The sequence below is a fragment of the Homo sapiens genome, chromosome 6, assembly GCF_000001405.40.
Source record: "Homo sapiens chromosome 6, GRCh38.p14 Primary Assembly".
Taxonomy (NCBI): Eukaryota; Metazoa; Chordata; class Mammalia; order Primates; family Hominidae; genus Homo; species Homo sapiens.
Genome location: NC_000006.12, coordinates 157436580 through 157458669, shown reverse-complemented (window position 1 = coordinate 157458669; position 22090 = coordinate 157436580). Strand labels below are relative to the sequence as shown.

Here is a 22090-nt window from a genome sequence, read left to right as displayed (position 1 = left end):
TTTGCAGACCATGCCAGGTCCTTGATCCCTTGCAGGAGCCCCACAGCCCCCACCTGCCCCAGGCCAAGCCCCCGACACTGAGAACTCCTGTGGTCTATCCTCTTTTGCGATTTCTTTAAAACCAACATTTTAACTAGATAATCCCAAAAGAATTTTTTGAATTGACATTTTCAAGAGGGAAAAAAGCAAAATTATTTATTATTAATTTTTTCCTTTCATGCTACTCTTATATTCCTGTGATTATATCAAGCAATGTAACAGATACCAACAGAATAGATTTTCTACCATTTCATGTTGTCCGCCCATCCACAAACATTAAATAAAAACAGATACTAACGAACTGCAACACTCTCTGCTCTTGGGGACTATTAGGGTCTAATTAAAGCCCACAAGATCAATGCTACACCGAATGAAAAAAATCACCATGGGAACTATGAAGAGGAAAAAGATGTTTGTTAGCAATCACATAAAATTACCCCGAATAATCCTCCCTTCTTCTACCTACCCTGCTTCCGCAAAAACACTCCTCTAGGCATAAACATAAATAAATGTCAATAACCAGATTCTACACATACCGAGTGCAGAAAGAGGAGGCATATCCGCCTGAGAGTATGGGATGGAAAGTGGGGGGCAGGTAGTCTGCTATTTATTTATCTTTCCTGCAAAGCCAGTCTAAGCAGATATGCTCACGAGCCTTTTATGAGTTGGTTATCTTGGCATTGGTTTTTAATTTGTCCAAATTTGCTCCTCCTTGGCCCTGGGGCAGACACAACCCAGCCCCCCAGCTGTAAAACCTCAGCATGGCAGTTGAGGCTCAGTGGTCAGGGGACCGTCTCTCAATGCTGCATTTGGTTGAGGGCGCAAGTGGTAGAGGCCAGGCAGTGGCCAGTGGATGAGACCCACTCAGAAACAGTAAAACCAGGAACACAGAATCTATACAGGATCTACATGTCAGACCCCAAAGAGACCCCCGATGCCAAGGGCAATTTGGTCCCAGGCATAATTTTGGACATGAATATCACTGACTAATAGTTCACAGTAAAATCACATTTCCATCATTTCAGGATTATGAAAAAAGCAGTGGTATAATACTTAAATGATTGATAAATATTCCAGTGAATATTGTAACATCTTTACTTCATTTTTGTGTACTCCTACTTGCTGACAAAGGCAGAAAGTAAGAACAGTACAGGCTTTATTGTCCGTTTTAAAACATGATAGGATAGTTCTCCAGAATTCTTAGAGCAAATTTCCAGTTTCATACTCCAGTTCCAGGGAATGGCATTCCCAAATGATCACAAAACAGATTTTACAATACCAGCTAGCATTCCCACTCCTGGGCTCCATTTCTATTTGCTGTGGCCAAACAAATGAAGTTCCCAGAGCCCACGCTGGAAGCCCTGATAAACACCTCAACCACAGAATCTCAGTCTGTGGCCCACTCTGGCGCCAAAAAAGTGCCCATCCCAACTCGGTCTTTTTTTTTTTTTTTTTTTAGATGGAGTTTCACTCTTGTCACCCAGGCTGGAGTGCAATGGTGCAATCTCGGCTCACTGCAATCTCCACCTCCCGAGTTCAAGCGATTCTCCTGCCTCAGCCTCCCAAGTAGCTGGAACTATAGGCGCATGCACCACACCTGGCTAATATTTATTTATTTATTTATTTATTTATTATTGTATTTTTAGTAGAGACAGAGTTTCACCATGTTGGCCAGGCTGCTCTCGAACTCCTGACATCAGGTGATCCACCCGCCTTGGCCTTCCGAAGGGGCTGGGATTACAGGCATGAGCCACCACGCCCGGCCCACAACTCAGTCTTTGTACCAGCACATGTAATGCGATTACTAATGAAAACGTTACTTCTCAGTAATTTCAAAAAGAGGTGGACAGAAACAGAACGGTTCACTGAATTCTCCAAATAATTGTAAAATTCTTCTTCAATCTCCTCCTCCCTTGGTAAATTTCCAAACTTCTTTTTAAAAAAATGTAAAAACCTGACTGAAAGATCAGGCTGATAAGGCTCACTTCCTCTCTCTGCCCACACCTGCTCTCTGAAGCAGCTCGTACTGCCAGGGAGAAACATGGTGGTGCTTTGTCTTACTCAATTCTTGACAGTTTTAAGGGTGTTCTCGAATAAATAATGTCACGTCAGGTCCCTAACAGCGCTGAGTGCCGTTTTAGGTAGCTACTGTCCTTCCCACTTTGCAAAAACCCTGGCTCCATGGGGGAGGCAACATCCCACACTTATGACTAGGGAGAGCCTGGACTCTAGGCCAGGCCTTGATTCTCTACCCATTGCTTTGGCAGCCCCAGGATGAACGAGGAGAGGGCCAAGTGGATCACGAGCTGCCTGAGCAGCACCTGTTTTCAGGCCAATCAACCGAAAATGCTAAAATCGAAGGGCTAACAGGACACATCACTGGAACTGTCTTTGCTTTTGCTCAAACCCAAGCCCAGTACCTCTGTCAGAATCTAGGGCCACGCGCCGTGGCAGCCTCCTCGGGGAGGCAGAGGTCAGGAAGAGCTTCCCTCCCGCAGCAGGCCTCCTCCGGGAGTAGAAGGAAAGGATGTGTTTTCATAACGGAGGGCGCAATCTGCAAACATAAATGAACTCCGATGAAACCTAAATCCTCGCCGAAAAAGCAAAACTCCCATTTCCTCTGTTCTTTCTCTGAGGCCTAAGGATAATTCTCTTCTTTCCCCCACAAGTCAGATTAAAGGGGTGTGACCCGGTCCACTGCGACTATCAAAGGATGCCATTGACACGGAGATAGCTGCAGGCAGAGCGCCGCTCAGACACACAATGGGCCAACGTGTTACTTTCTCTCTCTAATTTCCTTTCTAAAACTAACTGCTTTATCTGAGAGAAAATGCTGTGTTCTACAGTCGTTTTCCTTCTAACAAGAGCCGCTTGTATCCCCAGTTGACTGTAAGAAAGATCACATTCTGTTCCTCATGAAGAAAATTACAATGTCCCCGAAATGGCCCGGTTCCTGCCGGAGGAGCGAGGGGTGTGCCAGGTGGGAAGCTGCAAGGCTCTAACCAGCCCCTCAACAGGACCCCCAGCTCACTGTAACTCCAGGATCTAGAAAACAACACAAACGCAAGCACAAAGGCCGGCGGCATCAGGGCCTCCAGACTTAAGAAAGACCTGGAGAAAACTCACTGTCTGCCAAAAGTCTGGACAGATTTCCCATGTGGTTCACCTGCTTCATTCAGGGTAGGAAGGACAATGAGGAAAGGCACTCAACAGGAACCCCCATGCCAGCGTCACCCTTCCAGGCCAGAACGCTTTCCTCCCCTGCTTTTGTCTTTTCTCAGTTCCTGAGTGCTTTGCCTCTAAGGCATGGTGACTGATCACTCTGCCCTTGTGAAGGCATCTCTAGAGCACTTCTGCTGCCTCACATCTTCAGGAAGACCGAGTCTTTCTGCAGCAGGTGCTCATCACAAACCCTGGGTCCTCCTGCCCATGCAGACTGGGAAATGCTTCAAGAACTTCGGGAGGCAATGATACTGCAGTGACTGCCCTGCTCAGTTCACTCCTAAAAGCTTTTTGCTGCCTTTCAAAGTGGCCTGGCTGCGCCTCCCAGGAAACATCAGGCCACAGATGTGCAGCTAGAATGGATGGGCCCGTCAGTTTGCGATAAATGAGAGTGTTAAAATGGTGACACTGAAACTGAGGCCTGTTTTCAGCCCAGAGTAACCAACAGCATTGTTCACAGGACTGTCAGAGGCACTCACAAAAGGATGCTTTCTGGTCCAACTGAAATCAATATTGTGCTTCTGCTGGGGCTTAGGAATATTTAACACCATGTCAGCATCAAATACAGCATTAACAAAAGAAAATAACTGCTTGGCCTGTGGCTTCTATTAAATAACTCCATTAACATGGCAGAAACTATCAAAATTTTCAGATGCTTTTTATGTGCTAAAAGAAAAATTAGAGCATTTATATCTATTTGCTCTTTAAATTGTGTCAGTTCATGTTTAAAGATGCATTAAGGCCAGGTCCCATGGCTCACGCTTGTAATCCCAGCACTTGGGGAGGCTGAGGCGGTGGGAGAATCACTTGAGCCAAGGAGTTCAAGGCTGCAGTGAGCTAGGATCACACCACCACTGAACTCTAGCCTGGGAAACAGGGTGAGACTCGTGGCAAAAAAAAAAAAAAAAAAGAAGAAGCTGCATTAAAAGCATTTTAAAATCAGTAATGTTATGTTGCATTTTTCTTCTTTTTCTTAGGGATACACACATTTCATAGCAAGGAGTCTTCTGAAATTAAAGAGTGTGGTATGTTAACATAAAGTAGAGAGATAACAGGGAATTACTCCTTGATGTTAGAAGACAAGTGCCTTTAAAAGTAGTAAATATTGAGAACATACCAAGGAAAATATGTAGGCAGTGCTTAAAGAATGGCTGATGCATGTCTTTTGATCTTATTTCTTTGTCCCTTCATGTTTTGGATGATGGAAGTGCTGATACAATGGCTGGAGCTGGAGCAGCTGTTCTGGACTATGAGATAACCAAAGGGATGTAGGCCAGCTACAGCTAACAATGAAAAGGAGTCTGTGGCCTTGAGGACTTTGTGGGGCAGCACTGCCATGCCAGTCCTAGCCTGAAAGAAAGAAACATCCATATTGTCTATGAAAATAATATTTTTCCTATTGGTCACAGCCAAATCTCAACCTAAGTTACACACCCCACACCTAAAGGCTTCAAGATAAACATTAAGAAGGTTTTGAACAACAGCTGCCAATTAATCAGGAGGCTTATTTTCAGAGGCAGAATAAAAAAGAAGGTATCGGCCACCAGAAGTAAAGCAGACACATATTACATGTGGAGTCATCCATGGTCAAACACACACACACACACACACACACACACAAAACACAAAAAACAATGGCCTTAGAATGAATAAAATCTAATAGAAGTTCAGGTGGACCAGGTAGTCACCCATCTGGTCTTCAAAGGAAAGATGCTGCACCTCCAGCACCTAGCGCTGTGTCTGGGACAAAGTAGATGCTCAAGAAATACCTACTGAATGAATGACACTGAAGTCAAGGATGTTCAATAAACATTCACTGTATGAATGAAGGTGAAGTCAAGGATAGCTAGTGAATCTAAGCCAGGGGTCTGATTAGTAGAGGGTCTTTTATAATACAGAAGAAAATAATAAAATATGAAACTCAAGTTTGAGTGAAAATGGGCCATAGAATTAAAGCCCTTTGATGGTTCAAGTGAAAGGCAGCTGCAGAGTGGTCTGAGAGAACAGAAAAAGTTAACAGTTCATGGGAATTTAAAGCCTTATTGTGCAGTATCTGAGATGGGTGAATTTAGGATTGTCAGCGTTTTTTGGGTATTGATACCCTGTCATTCGAATTTGATAAAGCTTCAAAGTAAAGATCAATACAGAGATAGAATGTCTTCGGTATCTAAAGAACATAGATGAGAAGTAGAGATCCCTTTGGAATACCTGTCTGAAGAAACTGCCCCTAAGAACCTGGAGACACCCAAGTCAGTAACACCCACGGTTATCCTAAGTAAACCCAGCTCACAACAGGACATTTGTAGGACAGGCAATCTCTGTCATGTGAAAAAAGGAATACAACAGATAGAGGGGAAGGGTGGGGAAAAGAAGAGTATTGTGCTTATTACTCTTCTCTGGAGGATCAACTGCATTTTCTTTATTAAAAAGGATTACTTCCCTTTGGGAGGCCAAGGCGGGTGGATCATTTGAGATTAGGAGTTTGAGACCAGCCTGACCAACACGGTGAAACCCTGTCTCTACTAAAAATACAAAAAAATTAGCCGGGTGTGGTGGTGCATGCCTGTAGTCCCAGCTACTCGGGAGATGGAAGCACGAGAATCGCTTGAACCCGGGAGGCGGAGCTTGCAGTGAGCCGAGATCGCACCACTGCACTCCAGCCTGGGTGACAGAGTGAGACTCCGTCTCAAAAAAAAAAAAAAAAAAAAAAAAAAAAAATCCCCATGTATTAGTGATCTTTATGAGATTTGCCAAACACCTTTCCTTTCAATTTGGGTTATAAAATCTAAGTTCCAATTTCCTTGGCAGTATAGAAAATTAAGATATCATAAGCTCTACCAAAAGGAAAGGCTGAAATTACAGAGTTGCACAGAACACAACTGTTTTTAAACATAAGGCTATGAATCTTCCAAAAAAATAGAATTTTGTTAGGCAATAACCACACCAGAACATATGCAACACAAACATACTCCAAAACAAAGATCCCTGTCTCACAGACATCACTGCTTGGAGATGTAAGAGTTTCAGCAAAGGTGGGATATTTCAGGTTGTAGCTGGGTAAGCCAGTCTTTCCCAAAGGATGATTCATGCAGCAGGTGATTTAAGTGGTACATGGACAAACTGAAGTCTTTTCAAGTGAGTCTAGTTATAAAAAAAAAAAAATACTAGGTACTTTAGGAAATTAGGAGTGTAGGTGGAAAGTAGTTAGGAAATACCGGTTAAACTTAGGTCAGAGACTATAAATCTGTCTGGTCCAAGGTCAAGTTTGACTGGAAGGAGGGGCTAGTGGGGCACCATCACTTCGGCCTCAGAACTCACTGACCAGGTTATCAATACTGTGCTAAATGGGTCCAACCCCTACAGGGCCAACCCATCTTTCCGGATTATTCATAAGAGCTCACTGGAGACTGTCAGCATCCCCTTTGGGCCCCACAGCCCCAGGGACCTCCCCACTCCTAGGGACCCCAAGCAGGCACTTTTTGTTCCCTTGGCCTGCTTTCTTGCTTCCCCTCAAAAATATATGCCACCTTCCATTATTAATATTCAAGATGCTGAGCGCAGTGGCTCACGCCTATAATCCCAGCACTTTGGGAGGCTGAGGTGGGTGGATCACTTGAACCCAGAAGTTCAAGACCAGCCTGGCCAACATGGAGAAACCCACCTCTACTAAAAATACAAAAATTAGCCAGGTGTGGTGGTGGGCACCTGTAATCCCAGCTACTCGGGAGGCTGAGGCACAAGAATCGCTTGAACCCAGGAGGCGGAGATTGCAGTGAGCTGATATTGCGCCACTGCCCTCCAGCCTGGGTGACAGAGCAAGACTCTGTCTCAAAAATAATAAAAATAATAATTTTTACTGATTCAGCAATTGATTATTTCATTAATTCATATACTCATTTATTAGTGGATGGTTACTGAATAAATAAATGTTAAATCAACGTTTATCAAATAAAGGTCCTACTACGTGCCAAGCACTGTGTTAGGACCTGGGGATACACTGCCCTTTTGGAATGCATAGTCTTAGGATGACGCTGCTTTTAATGTTAAGGATCAGGTATAGATTTCACCTTTCTCTATCCCAGACAACAATACATGACACAAAAAATGGACAAGGTTATTATTCTTCCATTTGCCACTTCTCCAAATACCTCAAAATTGTTATTATTTCTGATATTGATTTGTGCTAAATTTATCAAAGGAAGATGCACCAAGGATTAGCATCTGTAAGCTCTGAAGAAGGTCAAGATCACAGCAAAGGTTAATTGGTTTCTTTGGAAATCATAAGCGTGGCAAATGCATCCCAGCCCATCCGTCTCAACATCTTACCTTGACAAGCGGTCAGATCTCATCCATAAAGAACACAATCAGCCTCCACAGACACACACACACACACACACACACACACACACAAGACCAGACTTTTGACATCAAAATTTATCCCACCATTGATGATAATTATTAAAAACACTAAAATGTTTTTATACAAAGACATCTATGATGCAGTGAGAAGTTAAAATCAAGGTAAAATATTATTAAAAGGCCAACTACGGATTTGTGCCTTGAGGAAATATGGCTGAAGAATTTCATAGATAATATTTATGGGAAGCCCAGGCTGCTTTCAGTTTATTTCTCTTTGTACACTTGCCTTAGCCAGTGACTATTTACAATCCAAGGATGGGGGCTGAAATCCAATTCTCAAGATGCATCAATAGGCTTGCAGTAAATATGTGACTTTTTCACAAACTGGTTAGGTTTTTATTTATTTTTTAAAGTAATGGTTGATCCATTTACGGGCTGGTTAGTTCCAGACCTTTTCGTTTGCAAAGAAAACATTCCAAACAAAAATGAAGACAGAGAATATTGAGTGTTCAGGATTTTTTTTTTTTTTTTTTAAGACGGAGTCTCATGCTCTAACCCCCAGGCTGGAGTGCAGTGGCGCGATCTCGGCTCACTACAACCTCTACCCCCGGGGTTCACGCCATTCTCCTGCCTCAGCCTCCCGAATGTTCAGGAATTTCTAAAGTTCATGAAACAATTTAGCCAATTGTTTCTTTATTAATGCTTAGCTCAGCATATTTCATGGATTCAGAACTATTCCTCTTTAAACACATTTGTTTGTTAATGTTTATAACTATTTACCCAAGGTGTTACCGTGTGTCTCAAAAGCACCACAAGATAAGGCTCATAATCTGTTATGGAAGAAATCTGCATACTAGTCTGGCTTGAGAAATACCATAAATGTGCCCCTTTCCTTCAACTCCCCTCATCCATCCCAAGCAGAAGTCCTCTGATTAGACAGGTGGCAGATACAAAGTCTGTGCCTAAATAATCACCATATTTATTAATCTCTTATGATATAGCGGACACTGCTAAGTGCGTTATGTGTAAAACCTCCTTTAGTCCTCAGAACAACCCTATGAGGTACACATTATTATTATCCCCAGTTTAAAGGGGAGAATACGACAGACCAGGGAAATTAAACTTGCTCAAGTTCACATGGTTAGAAAGGGGGAAAGCTGCAATTCAAACCATAAATCTGTCTGACGTCAAGCCCATCAACGTACTGGGGAAAAAATTCAAAGCAGCAGTTTGCCTGAGGTTACTAACTCTGCATGAATTTTCCATCAATAACAAGTCAGAAGGAATTCCGGCAGCCTTTGATTCCACTTGGAGAGTAAAGCCTAGTTCACGTGCCCCAGAGACTAAAACAATAAACATAAAAACAATGAAAAGTAAGCTCAAGTAAGTGAGAGAAGGTAGATACGACAGACTGCATATTGTATGATTCCATTTATATGAAATTCTGGAAAAGGCAAAACTATAGTGACAGCAGATGGGTGGCTACCAGGAGCTGGGGAAGGGGAAAGGATTGACTTCAAATGGGAACAGGAGATGATGTCAGGGGGACAGAAGTCTTATTATAACTGTGATGACGTTTTCCCCATTGAACATATTTGCCAAACCCATCCAACTGTTCACTTATAGTGGATGAATTTTATTTTATGTAAATTATGCCTCAATAAATCTGATTTTTTAAAAGTGGGCTTAAAAGCAAGTGGAATAATATTAATATAATATACCGCGTATAGTATTCTCTTTCCCTCCTCTTTTTACCTGACCTTCAGGTCAACCTATGTTTGGTGGGAAACTCATGGATGCATTTGATAAACAAAAATCTTTTCATGGACTGAGGTTTCCTACTGGCCATCTCATTTCTTTACCAACTTAACTCCACCCCCTAGGAAATTTATCTTCCACCGAAGTTCTATCCATCAACTGAAATGTTTGTGATTATTTATGACAAAAGTATGGTCCTGGGTGCCTGAGGTGGGCAAGCCACATGTGAAGAGGCCTGCACTCAAAGTCAGAATACCTTCACTCTCGGCCTGGCCTTTCTGCTTCACAGCAGTGTGACCTTGGGCAAGCCACTAGGCCTCTCTGAGCCTAAATTTTCCCTTTTATAAAATGGGGATGATAGTGTCTCCCTTTAAGAGTTTATGACAACCAAATGGACTAATAAAAATGAAAGCACTGGCCAGGCGCAGTGGCTCACGCCTATAATCCCAGCACTTTGGAAGGCCGAGGCGGGCAGATCACTTGAGGTCAGGAGTTTGAGACTAGCCTGGCCAAAATGGTGAAACTCGTCTCTACTGAAAATACAAAAATTAGCTGGGCATGGTGGTGCACGCCTGTGATCCCAGCTACTCAGGAGGCTGAGGCAGGAGAATCACTTGAACCTGGGAGGCTTCTGATTTGTTCTCTCATTGTGCCAAGCACACAACTAGGTTCTGAATAAAGATCACATGTATTGTTCACTATGTCTACTACATATGCAGCACACTTAATAATTGATTTCTGGGAAATTATCAATGGAAGATGATAACAGAGGGGAAGAGTAGGGTTAGTATATGGAAGTAAAAGATAATACATTTTAGACTGAAAAAATATTAATTGTTGAGATGAACTGAATATTGATCAAAATGATTTTATATAATTATCTGTGAAGCTGCTGAATTCAACCTAGACATTTATAGATATCCGCCACATTTATCCACCACCCCCGCAACAGACACACACTCTAGACAGGAAAAATATTCATTTGGGAGAGGGATAAGGTGAATGGTAGAACAAAGTTTTTCTCTGAAATTACCCCCAAAAACATCCTTTCAGTTACTTGAAGTCAGACCTTAAGCACTACAGTTACAAAAAAATAAAATAAAAACATGTTTTAGGCAAGGCGTGGTGGCTCACACTTGTAATCCCAACCTTTGGGAGGCTGGGGTGGGAGGATCACTTGAGGCCAGGAGTTCAAAAGTAACCCAGGTAACATAGTGAAACTCTGTCTCTACATAAATAAATAAATAAATAAAGTAGCCAGGTGTGGTGGTGCGGGCCTGTAGTCCTAGCTACTCAGAAGGCTAAGGCAGGCAGATCGCTTGAGCCTAGGAGTTTGAGGCTGCAGTGAGCTATGATCACACCACTGCACTCCAGCCTGGGCAACAGAGTGAGACCCCACCTCTCAAAAAAATAACAACAGTTTTTAAACACCGCTGACAAGAGCTTATAGTTTCATTGAGGTGAAAAGCCCCCAACATTTGTGGCATTTAGGACAAAAGTATAACAGAGGCCCACTCATCACCCACCTAAATATGTAAAGGTTACAAATTAAGGTAAAAACTTAAACCAAATGGCTTCTATCCTCCTTCCTTCACAAACACACTTCGTGACAACCTGGGAGGACAACTTCCGATTCAGGATACCTGGACCCCCGGGTCTTCCTCACCCTGCCTGCAGCCCTGCCTTCCTTGGCTTCTTTTCCACCCCTGCCTCTGTTCCCTGTCACTTGGAGGGGACAGCCCAGCCTGCCTGTCCAAGCACTAATCGCCCCATCCTCCTTCCATACAGTCCCCGACCCTCCCTCAGTCCCGGGGGTGCCTACCCCAAGCAGCGCAGGTAGCGCTGGGGAGACTAAACCCAAGGAAGAGCCTGTGCAGCCTCCGTAAGGGGCTCAGGGTCTTCTGGGCAAGGAGTTTCCGCCCCCGGGTGCCCAGAGCATGGCCCATAGAAAGTAGGAGGTGCCCCCACTTGACCCTTGGACGCCTCACCCCACAGGGAGACACAGCAACTGAAGGGCCTGGGCAAGGCCCTCCAAGCCCAGAACAGGGGCCTCCCTGGCCCACACTGGAGACTCAATGCACAAATAAAACCTTCGGCAGATAAAACAATATTATATTCAGACAATGTCTATTTACAAATGTGCATATCTTTTTTTCTTTCTTTCTTTCTTTTTTGATATGGAATCTCATCACATCATCCGGGCTGAAGTACAGTGGTGCATCTCAGCTCACTGCAACCTCCACGTCCCGGGTTCAAGCGATTCTCCTGCCTCAACCTCCCAACTAGCTGGGAGTACGGGCATGTGCCACCACACCTGGCTAATTTTTGTATTTTTAGTAGAGACTGGGTTTCACCATGTTGGCCAGGCTAGTCTCGAACTCCTGACCTCAGGTGATCCGCCTGCCTCGGCCTCCCAAAGTGCTGGGAGTATAGGCATGAGCCACCAGGCCCAGCCTATAAATGTGCATATCCATGTGTGTATATACTGTACATACATGCATACATCAGCATATAACTGATCTAGCAAGTCACTCATTGTGTAATACAGCCAATATGTCAAGGAATTTGTAAAGGAAGACATAAACCAGGCACAGTGGCTCATGCCTCTAATCCGAACACTCTGGGAGGCTGAGGCGGGTGGATCACCTGAGGTCAGGAGTTCGAGGCCAGCCTGGCCAACATGGTGAAACACTGTCTCTACTAAAAACACAAAAATTAGCCAGGCATGGTGGTACGCACCTGTAATCCCAGCTATTCGGGAGGCCGAGGCAGGAGAATCGCTTGAACCTGGGAGGCAGAGGTTGCAGTGAGCCGAAATTCAACCACTGCACTCCAGCCTGTGCAACAGAGAAAGACTCCATCTCAAAACACAAACAAAACAAAACAAAAAAACCAAAAAAAAAGGAAGAGATATATACCAACTGGAGGGTCAGGGAAAACATCTGTGATGAGGAAATTGAGCTAGGTTTTTGGGAATGGATTGCATGTGGCTATGTGGAGAAGGCTCGAGAGGGGCAAATGGCAACTACAAAGAGCTGAGTGTGCCTCGATGGAGCAATGGGCGATGGATTTGTGTCTGGAGATAATCTCCAGATGATAGAATAGCTACAGGTAAGGGCCAAAAGATGCCAATTGTCCCTTAACATAATAAATATCACCAAAGATAGGTATGGTTGCAAGAAGTATAATGGAAGCATGGTCACCTTGAATTATTTTTAGAATAAGGTTATAAACAAAAAAGTATGATCAAATTAAAATAAAGGGTAATTATCAAAACCTGCAATGGCCCTCATGCACCCCACACTACCAACTGACTCACCCTTCTGGGTCAGCACCATGTAGCGAGTCCAATCTGTTGAAAAGGTTCTGGCCCCAGCGATGACTTTGCCCTGGATAATTTGCTGGGAGAAGGATATTAAGTTGATGCCTCGGTTTCATAACTACTAAACACTAGGCATTTGATAGCATTTAGGCTTATATCCTAACCTCTCTCTCTCTCTTTCTCTCTCTCTCTCTCTGGCTTTTTCCAAACCAGAACCATCTTGCCTCAGTTATTTTTTTTCTGCGTCTAAATATAGTAGTTTAAAAAACCATTAAAGGCATAAGAAAAGCGGAAAGGAGATGTTTCACTTTCAGACCAGACTCTGTTTTAACAGATTTCCCAGATAATTTCTGCAGGACATTAGGCTTAAAAGAACTCTCCGCTCACCAACCCAAGGGGGCAGAGGGGGCTTGCCACACACCGTGAGGGACCATTGGTCCAAAGAGAGGCCTCTCTAACCCAAGCCTGAAAAGTATCCTCTGTTGCTTTAAAAATAGAAACTGTTTTGGACAGACAACTAACTGCATGACATGGAGATGTAACAGGAATGAGACGGAGGCAAGACAAATGAACCAGGTTTTCATCTATTTCTGGCGCATCTTGGCTTTGTTTATTTTTAATAAACCGTGATGGCTCTTGTCTAATCAAAACTGCTATAAGAAGCTGGCAGAAGACAGAGGTGAAATTAACTCTTTGAATCTTTCCATCTCTTTTGGAAACATTCATTTATCTCCAATAATTCAGAGCTATTATTTTCAACAGGTTTTTATATATATAAAATGATGATGATGATGATGATGATGATAGATAGATAGATATGAAGAGTGTGTGTGTGTGTGTGTGTGTGTGTGTGTGTGTGTGTGTAATATCTGGCAGTGCTAAGACCCATGCCAGAGTCACCAGGTGTTTCCCTTGTGGTCCCTTCCCCAGCCTGGACTCTGTCTACATGGTCAGAATTGCTGCCCTCAACTCTGGCCTCCTCACACTGGGATCCCTGTTATGTTTTGAGCCCAGCTTCTGGCCACATGCCCACTTCTGGGCTTTGCCTTGATCAGTACATTGATGCTCCTGCCTGACCTTTCAATGACTAGTGACCCCTCCCGTACCCACTTTGGTCTCATCCTTGAGCAGCTGACTAGACCATGGAAGGCCCCTCCACTCGGCCCTCAGTGGGGAATGTGAATGCTGTTTCTACCAAAGATGCCCACAGAATGTCTTCTGCAACTGAGGTGGGAAAAGTGTTACTGACTTTCCTGGATGTAGGGGCAAAGTATATCCCTTTTTTTTTTTTTTTGACGGAGTCTCTCTCGGTCGCCCAGGCTGGGGTGCAATGGTGCAATCTTGGCTCACTGCAACTTCCACCTCCTGGGTTCAAGTGATTCTCCTCCCTCAGTCTCCTGAGTAGATGAGATTACAGGTGTGCACCACCATGCCCGGCTAAATTTTCTATTTTTAGTAGAGATAGGGTTTCACCATGTTCGTCAGGCTGGTCTCAAACTCCTGACCTCAGGTGATCCACCCGCCTCACCTTCCCAAATTGCTTGGATTACAGGCGTGAGCCACCATGCCCAGCCTAGTATATCCTCTTACTGAGTGTTCTCTTGGAGCCTCTCCCCAGTCTCAGAGCTCCCTGCCTCAATGTGTATTCCGTGGTGTCCGCTACCAAACAGCCCATCCAATCACAAAAGGCAGAGACTGCAATGTGTACCCTGGGATTCTGTCATTAAGTATGATATGCTCACTAACTGTAGGCTTCATTGCGGGTGTAGAGACCATCTAATAATATTGCAGAAGGCTGTATAATAATTTGGAGTCAGTTTAATTTATATTAAGATTGTTAGCTCTATCACGATTACTGTTTGACTTTGGGCAAGTTCCTTAACCTCCTGCTCATGAGATCATTGTGAGGAATAAACAAAATATTACATAAAGACTTAGTGCAATGCTGAGCACACATAGAACATTTATTAAATGCTAGCTGACTCTGAAAAATAATAAGATAACAATACCATATTCATTTACTAGTGCTTACGGTACACTAGGCTCTGTTCTGAAGTGTGTTATCTGGGTTATGGCATTTAATCTGAAGCAGAACCCTAGAAGGCAGACATCTCCACTCTACAGAGGAGGAAAACTGAGTTCCAGAGAAGGTAAGGCACTACCCAAAGTCATGCAGCTAGTAAGAGGCAGAACTGGGATTCAAACATGAGTCGATCAATTGGGCCAGAGTGTATCAGATCAATAAGAGCCATGAATATCCATGTGCAGCTAGTTCATCTTAGCTTTGGGTGGGAAAATACCCTTGGCCATTCATTTTAAAGCTGGACATGTGCTAAACCTCACCACATAGATTGGTTTCACCACCAGTGATGGCAGCCACTGTGAGTCATTCAAAGAACAGGTCTAGTGGTTTCCTGGCTTATGTTTTTGGTTTTATTAAAATTCCACCATCTGGTTTCTTCATAGCTCACGGTGCTTTCCCTTAAAAGAATGCTGAGGTTGAGGTCAAGGGATAGCCGCAGAGCAAAAGGGATGGGGTTCAGGATAGGATCACCCCGGGTGCTGCCACAATGCTCCCCTTCACACAGGCAGTGGGACCCTGTATTAGTCCATTCTCATACTGCTATAAAGAAATATCCGAGACTGGGTAATCTATAAAGGAAAGAGGTTTAATTGACTCACAGTTCAGCATGGCTGGGGAGGCCTCAGGAAACTTACAATCATGGTGGAAGGGGAAGCAGCACCTTCTTCATAAGGCAGCAGGAGAGAGAAGTGCAGAGCAAACAAGGAAGAGCCCCTTATAAAACCATAAGATCTCCTGAGAACTCACTCACTATCATGAGAACAACATGGGGGAAACTGCCCCCATGATCCAATCACCTCCCACGAGGTCCCTCCCCCAACATATGGGGTTTACAATTCAGATTACAATTCAATCTGAGGTTTGGGTGGGGACACAGAGTCTAACCATATCAGACCCTAACCCAAGAGGCCTGGGGACAGGCAGTTACTTGATTGGCTTCAAACTAGTAACAGAGGAAATGACTACCTCAGTCTGCCCAGTGATGTTCCAGATCAAGCTCTGGAAAAGCCTTCCTTGAAAAAGGTCTTAGAATTGTTGCTATTTAAAAAATAAAATCCACCAGGGGTGCTGCAAGTGGCAGAGGCTGCCTCTAAGAGCGTACCTGCTGAGTAAGAGCCAGAAGGAGAAGAGCAAATTGTTCTTCAGGAGGCGTCTGCTGGGCGGGCTTCAGACTTGGGCCACCTTTGGCAGGGGCAAAACAGCACGTAACCTCGTGCCCTCCAGGGTACGCTTTCTACATCAGGAGAAAATCGCCCAGGCAAAACACTGATGGACTGCAAACAACTTTTTCTTCTCTTTAGTTAATGGAAGTGATATTTATCTTGCCACCAACAAACCGGCACACTGGGAGAGCGGGGCTTAGAGTTTCGAAAGCCAGGAGGAAAATGGTTCTTGCATTCCATGACTCATCTTTCTCTTACCAAAGCAATTCTGTAGTAACAGCCATAGTTCCTACTTCATGAATGTAGCGTATGGAAGTTGTTTTGTTTTGGTTTGGGTTTTTTTGACAGAGTCTCGCTCTATCGTCCAGGCTGAAGTGCAATGGCGTGATCTCAGCTCACTGCAGACTTGACCTCCGGGGCTCAAATGATTCTCCCACCTCAGCCTCTTGAGTAGCTGGGACTACAGGTGTGCACCACCATATCCAGATAATTTTTGTATTTTTTTGGTTTCACCATGTTGCCTAGGCTTGTCTCAAACTCCTGGGTTCCAGGGATCCTCCCCACTCAGCCTCTAAAAATGCTTGGGATTACAGGCATGAGCCACCATGCTCAGATGAAGTTTTCAAAAAACTTTATGAATGTAATCTATTTCTTCAACAGAGCACTGTTTCTATTATTCTGAGGGCTGGATAACAAGCATCACTATATCCATTCTATAGTTAATAAATCTGAGGCATCAAGAGGATAAAAGATTGGTATCATGAGTTAACTGTAATGCTAATGCTAAAATATTGTTTCCACGAAACAGAAATCTTTTCTGTATGGAAATCTCACACACACATACACACATGGACTAAGGAATATTGATTTTTTCTTTTCTTTTTTTGATTCGGAGTCTCACTCTGTTGCCCAGGCTAGAGTGCTGTGGCACAATCTTGGCTCACTGCAACCTCTTCCTCTAGGGTTCAAGTGAGTCTCCCACCTCAGCCTCCCGAGTAGCTGGGATTACAGGTGCACACCACCATGCCCAGCTAATTTTTGAATTTTTTTAGAGACAGGGTTTCACTATGTTGGCCAAGCTGGTCTCAAACTCCTGATCTCAGGTGATCCACCCACCTTGGCCTCCCAAAGTGCTGGGATTACAGGTGTGAGCCACCGTGCCTGGCCAGATTTTTTCTTTTCTTTCATCCGTTTCTTTTTTGTTCAAGAAGCTGTGTCTAGATTTGCACATGTGCTTGTCAGAAAGAAATTAACATAGGAAATTTCCTTTCCTCACTCCCACACAACACATCTGCCAATCTAACACTTCCAAAAGCAGTGAGCAATGAGGAGGCTACAGCAACAGAGAACAAATAACCAGATTCACAGAATTTGGAAATAAGAACAAGTGTTTGGTGTCTTCCTGGGAACAACTTCTAGCTGAAGAGCTCTCGTCTCAAATGATCGGAAACCTGCTGGGACAGAATGGAGGATTTGCAAAGCCTACAAAAATCTGAGCCATGAGCGATCCTTCCAGACAAAACACTATCTCTTATTTTCTATCTCTGCCCTGACTTCCACCTCCTAAAAGGTGTGGTTCCCTCTTTTCAACTCTCACTAGTGGCTCACTTACGGACACAAAACTATCACAGCCACAAAAAAGAGACAGAAAAGGAAATCTTGGAAACTTAGATTTCCTCTGGGTTTACACTGAAAAGACCCCCATAAGTCACATTCCTTTTCGTTTGTTTTTTTCCCTTTTTATGAAGATAAAATTCATATATGGTAAAATTACCCATTTAAAGTATGCAATTCAGTGGCATTTGCTATAACCACAATGTTGTCTTAGCTCAACTCTCCCTAATTCCAAAACAGTTTCACCATCTCAAAAGAAAACTTGTACACATGAAGCAGTCACTTCCCATAAAATATGTGATAGCTTCTGTCTTCTTTCACTTAGCACCTGTTTTTAAGGTTAATCCATGTTGTACCATGTATCAGTACTTCATTCCTTTTTTATAGCTGAGTAATATTTCATTTTATGAACATCCCACAATTTGCTTATCCATTAACTCATTGATGAACATGTGAGCTGTTTCCACATTTTTGCTATTGTAAAGAACGCTGCTGTGAACATGTGCATGTTTGTATTTTTTCAGTATTTGTATTCAATTGTTTTGGGTATATTCCTAGAAATGGAATTGCTAGGTCATATATTAATTCTAAGCTTAATTTTTTGAGGAACCTCCAAAGTGTTTTCTACAGTGGCTGCAATATTTTACATTCCCACCAGCAATGTACAAGGTTTCTAGTTTCTCTATGTCCTCATAAACACTTGTATGTTCCTTTTATTTTTCAGTTATCACAATCCCGGTGGGTGTGAAGAGGTATCTCAGGGTGGTTTTCACTTGCATTTCCCTAGTGACTAATTTCTCTATTTTGTCATGTGTCTTTTGGCTTGCTGGTTCTTCTTGCAGAAATGTCTATTTGAGCCTTTTGTCCATTTTTAAATTGGGCTGTGTGTATTTCTGCTATTGAGTTGTAAGTGTTCTTTATTATTATTATTATTATTATTATTATTAAAGTTCCAGGGTACCTGTGCAGGATGTGCAGGTTTGCTACATAGGTAAACGTGTGCCATGATGATTTGCTGCACAGATCAACCTATCACCTAGGTATTAAGCCCAGCATGCATTAGCCATTTTTCCTGATGCTCTCCCTCCTCCCACACCCCACCAAGAGGCCCCAGGGTGTGTTGTTCCCCTCCCTGTATCTATGTGTTCACATTGTTCAGCTCCCATATGTAAGTGAGAACATGCGGTGTTCGGTTTCCTGTTCACGCATTAGTTTGCTGAGGATAATGGCTTCCAGCTTCATCCATGGCCCTGCAAAGGACATGATCTTGTCTGCTTTTACAGCAGCATAGTATTCCATGGTATATATGCACCACATTGCCTTTATCTAGTCTATCATTGATGGGCATTTGGGTTGATTCCATGTCTTTGCTATCGTGAATAGTGCTGCAATGAATATATGTATGCATGAACCTTTGTAATAGGATGATTTATATTCCTTTGGGTATATACCCAGTAATGAGATTGCTGGGTCAAATGGTATTTCTGGCTCTAGGTCTTTGAGGAATCACCACACTGTCTTCCACAATGTTGGAACTAATTTATGTTCCCACAGACAGTGTAAAAATGTTCCTATTTCCCCACAGCCTTGCCAGCATCTGTTGTTTCTTGACTTTTTAATAATGGTCATTCTGACTGGTGTGAGATGGTATCTCATTGTGGCTTTGATTTGCATTTCTCTAATGATCAGTGATGTTGAGCTTTTTTTAATATGTTTGTTGGCCACATAAATGTCTTCCTTTGAGAAGTGTCTGTTCATGTCCTTTGCCCACCTTCTAATAGGGTTGTTTTTTCTTGTAAATTTGTTTACGTTCCTTGTAGATTCAGGATATTAGATCTTTGTCAGTTGGGTAGACTGCAAAAACTTTCTCCCATTCTAGCACTCTGCAACTGTAGTTGCCATTTTCTTAAAGGCCCTAAGATGTTTTGAAAATGAAGAACGGAAATATTTAGCAGGAAATAAGAGATATAAATGGATATGTTAGACAGGGAACATGACAGAGTTTCTCTGGATGGGGAACTGTACCAAACCCAAGTGACAGGGTACTTTTTTAAAAGTTGCTCAATGACCCTCACATGAACTGCCAGAAAAACTCTTTGTTGGCAATATGATTCTCTAAGCAGTGGAGTGGCTAACTCAGCACGAATGCTCAATTCTAGATGAATTCAGTTCTTGGCACTCTCTACCGCCCAGACAATACTCTGAATTTATCACTTATAAAATATATTTGTCCACAGCTTTCTCTGCAATCCTCCACAGCCAAACACATCCATAAATTCCACAGCTCTAGCTCCAACTGCTATTGGAAATAGTACTCTAACATCCTGACACCAACACGAATATTTTGGCTGCTTTTAATATGACATCCAGACTTTCGGATTTCAAAAACAATGCCTGAGATAAGCAGGAAATATCTTGTGGTACAGTGGAAGGAAAAACTTTTTATTCCCTGAGAAAGTCTTACAAAGACACAAGCGTCTTGTACGAACAATGTTAAAATGTAAAGTTTAATATGGTTGTTACTATGGTGATCCTCACATTTGCAAATTCACAGGGGGGTTTCAGCATTGTGCTGTACTTTGAGATAACTGTGAAGGTAATTTGTGAACTTCAGCTGATGAAAACTAGAGATGTCTGCACGTGGCATTTGTCTTCAAGAGTCTTGCTGATTTTCTGTACTTCCAAATGCAACTCAAAGTCCAGATTTTAACCTTACAATCTTTAAAATTATCTTAATATGGCTACCTTAGAGATTTCCTTCCTCTCCCTGCAAAATAAAATTAATCACTCCATTTGAAAAACAATCCTATTTCTAGAATCTACAAGAACTTTCCATAAAGCATTCTTACCTTAAATGCTTGCATTCTTCTTGCCAGGAAAGCCCAAATTTGTGACACCTTAGCAACCTGTTCAAGAAGTATATTTTTTTCTGGGTAAATTACACTCTTTTCTACTTTCTCATTTTTTTTGAAGATTTAGAAATTATTCACAATAGGATTAATTAAAACTACATGATATAATAAATGCTACTGAACTGTACAGTTAAAATGATTAAAATTGTAAATTTTATGTTATGTATATTTTACCTCAATAAAAAAAACATGATAGTTCAGTACACCTAACTTTTAATTAGCTTTATACCTATTTAGAAAACCAAGTAAATTATAAAATAAAAAGAAAGTAAACCTGGATTTTTTTTTTTAACTCTACCATCCCATGTAAATACTAAGGTCATAAATTTAACCAACTTGTACTTGTCCTTCTTCTGTAAAAATCTGACCTATATAATCACCTAATTTAATATGGGGAAGAATGAATCACAGCACACATAGAGCTATATTTTTTGGTTTTAAATATATGAATTTATTATCCCGTAGCAATCAACTAACACTGTTGCAGAGAAGAGTTAGTAGCCTTTAGTCATACCTATTTGAATCTATTTTACCCTGACAGGAAAGGTCGTTTTACGAGTAAGAAATGCAGAGACTGAGCCTGTGAGAGAAGGATTCTTTAATTGGGGTCTTCCAGGGACCTGTGAGCCCAGTGAATTGATCCAAGTATTGTATACAGGCATATGCAGGAATTCTTCTGGGAAGAGCACTCACTGCTTCCTTCTAAAAGGATTAAGAACTCCAGTATCACTACAGAGACAAACCTGTTCAAGGCTGGAGACAGAACAGGGCGACAGCCTGCCCGGGACACTCGGGAGCACAGCTCAGCACCGCCATTCATCTTCACGACACTACTATAAAGAGAATCTAGGTGTCCTCTGGAGGGAAAGTGGCCTCCTTATGGAAGGAAGCATCCGTTAACCTTATTTGGCATTCCTGCATGGCCCCTGCAGGTGCCCTCTGAAAATGAAGGCACAGTACAGCACAAAGCTTCATGGGACCTGAGAACCAGGAGGCCCAGCAAAGGCCCCCAGTGCTCTCACGGATGCAGAGCCCATGCTCCAGCCCATGTGTGGCCGGCCAATCCTGGGAAAGGCCTGTGCTGCACTGTGTAGACCTGCAGTCCCAGGGTAGGGCTATGGAAGCAGGCCCAGCTGTTGTCACCATGTCACATGCACAGTCACAGCCCTCTCCCCTTTTCAGTGGCTGCTAAGTCTCAGGATGCCCCTTGCCCCGTGGATGAAGGCCTCCTCCACAACCCCAATCCCCACCACCTTCCACTCCAGGCACCTCAGACCACCCCTGTACTCCCTGCAGACAGCTCTGCGTAGATGATCTCCCTGATGACTGCCCTGCCTCGACCTCCCTCCAGCATCTGGGCCTCCTTCCACATCTGGAAATTCCACAGGCACTATGCAGCCAACATGACCCAAACTGAACTCATCATCTTCCTGAAGCAAACGTGCCTGGCTTCCCTCTTCCCATGAATAGCACCACTATGCCTCTAGGGGCTCAGATTCAAGCCTTCGTCCCTCTCCGTTAGTTCACTGCCAAGTCCCGCAGACCTCTCTGAGGGCTCTGACGCCTGTGCCCATCATCACATTATTCCTGCAACCCCCCTTTACCCGCCCCCCCTCCC

General features: G+C 43.2%; 1 protein-coding gene across 3 annotated transcripts in view, besides 4 other annotated features; it reads right to left on the bottom strand.

Annotated features, from left to right (window-relative positions):
* The window catches only part of ZDHHC14 (zDHHC palmitoyltransferase 14), a 296968-nt gene that overhangs the window by 219488 nt on the left and 55390 nt on the right, over window positions 1–22090 (bottom strand). The gene's annotated exons all lie outside the window — the stretch shown is intronic.
* Window positions 2678–3569: an enhancer, noted in NCBI's record as "NANOG-H3K27ac-H3K4me1 hESC enhancer chr6:157876133-157877024 (GRCh37/hg19 assembly coordinates)". NCBI's record gives its function as "activates a minimal SCP1, AML or CMV promoter by ChIP-STARR-seq in naive H9 embryonic stem cells {active_cell/tissue: H9 hESC(naive)}" and the evidence as "EXISTENCE:reporter gene assay evidence [ECO:0000049][PMID:30033119]".
* Window positions 10596–10820: a silencer, noted in NCBI's record as "fragment chr6:157868882-157869106 (GRCh37/hg19 assembly coordinates)". NCBI's record gives its function as "represses an EF-1alpha promoter that drives an FKBP-Casp9 reporter gene in an ReSE screen in K562 erythroleukemia cells {active_cell/tissue: K562}" and the evidence as "EXISTENCE:reporter gene assay evidence [ECO:0000049][PMID:32094911]".
* Window positions 11222–11723: an enhancer, noted in NCBI's record as "H3K27ac hESC enhancer chr6:157867979-157868480 (GRCh37/hg19 assembly coordinates)". NCBI's record gives its function as "activates a minimal SCP1, AML or CMV promoter by ChIP-STARR-seq in primed H9 embryonic stem cells {active_cell/tissue: H9 hESC(primed)}" and the evidence as "EXISTENCE:reporter gene assay evidence [ECO:0000049][PMID:30033119]".
* Window positions 20097–20297: a silencer, noted in NCBI's record as "peak6257 fragment used in MPRA reporter construct". NCBI's record gives its function as "represses an SCP1 promoter by STARR-seq MPRAs in K562 erythroleukemia cells {active_cell/tissue: K562}" and the evidence as "EXISTENCE:reporter gene assay evidence [ECO:0000049][PMID:32103011]".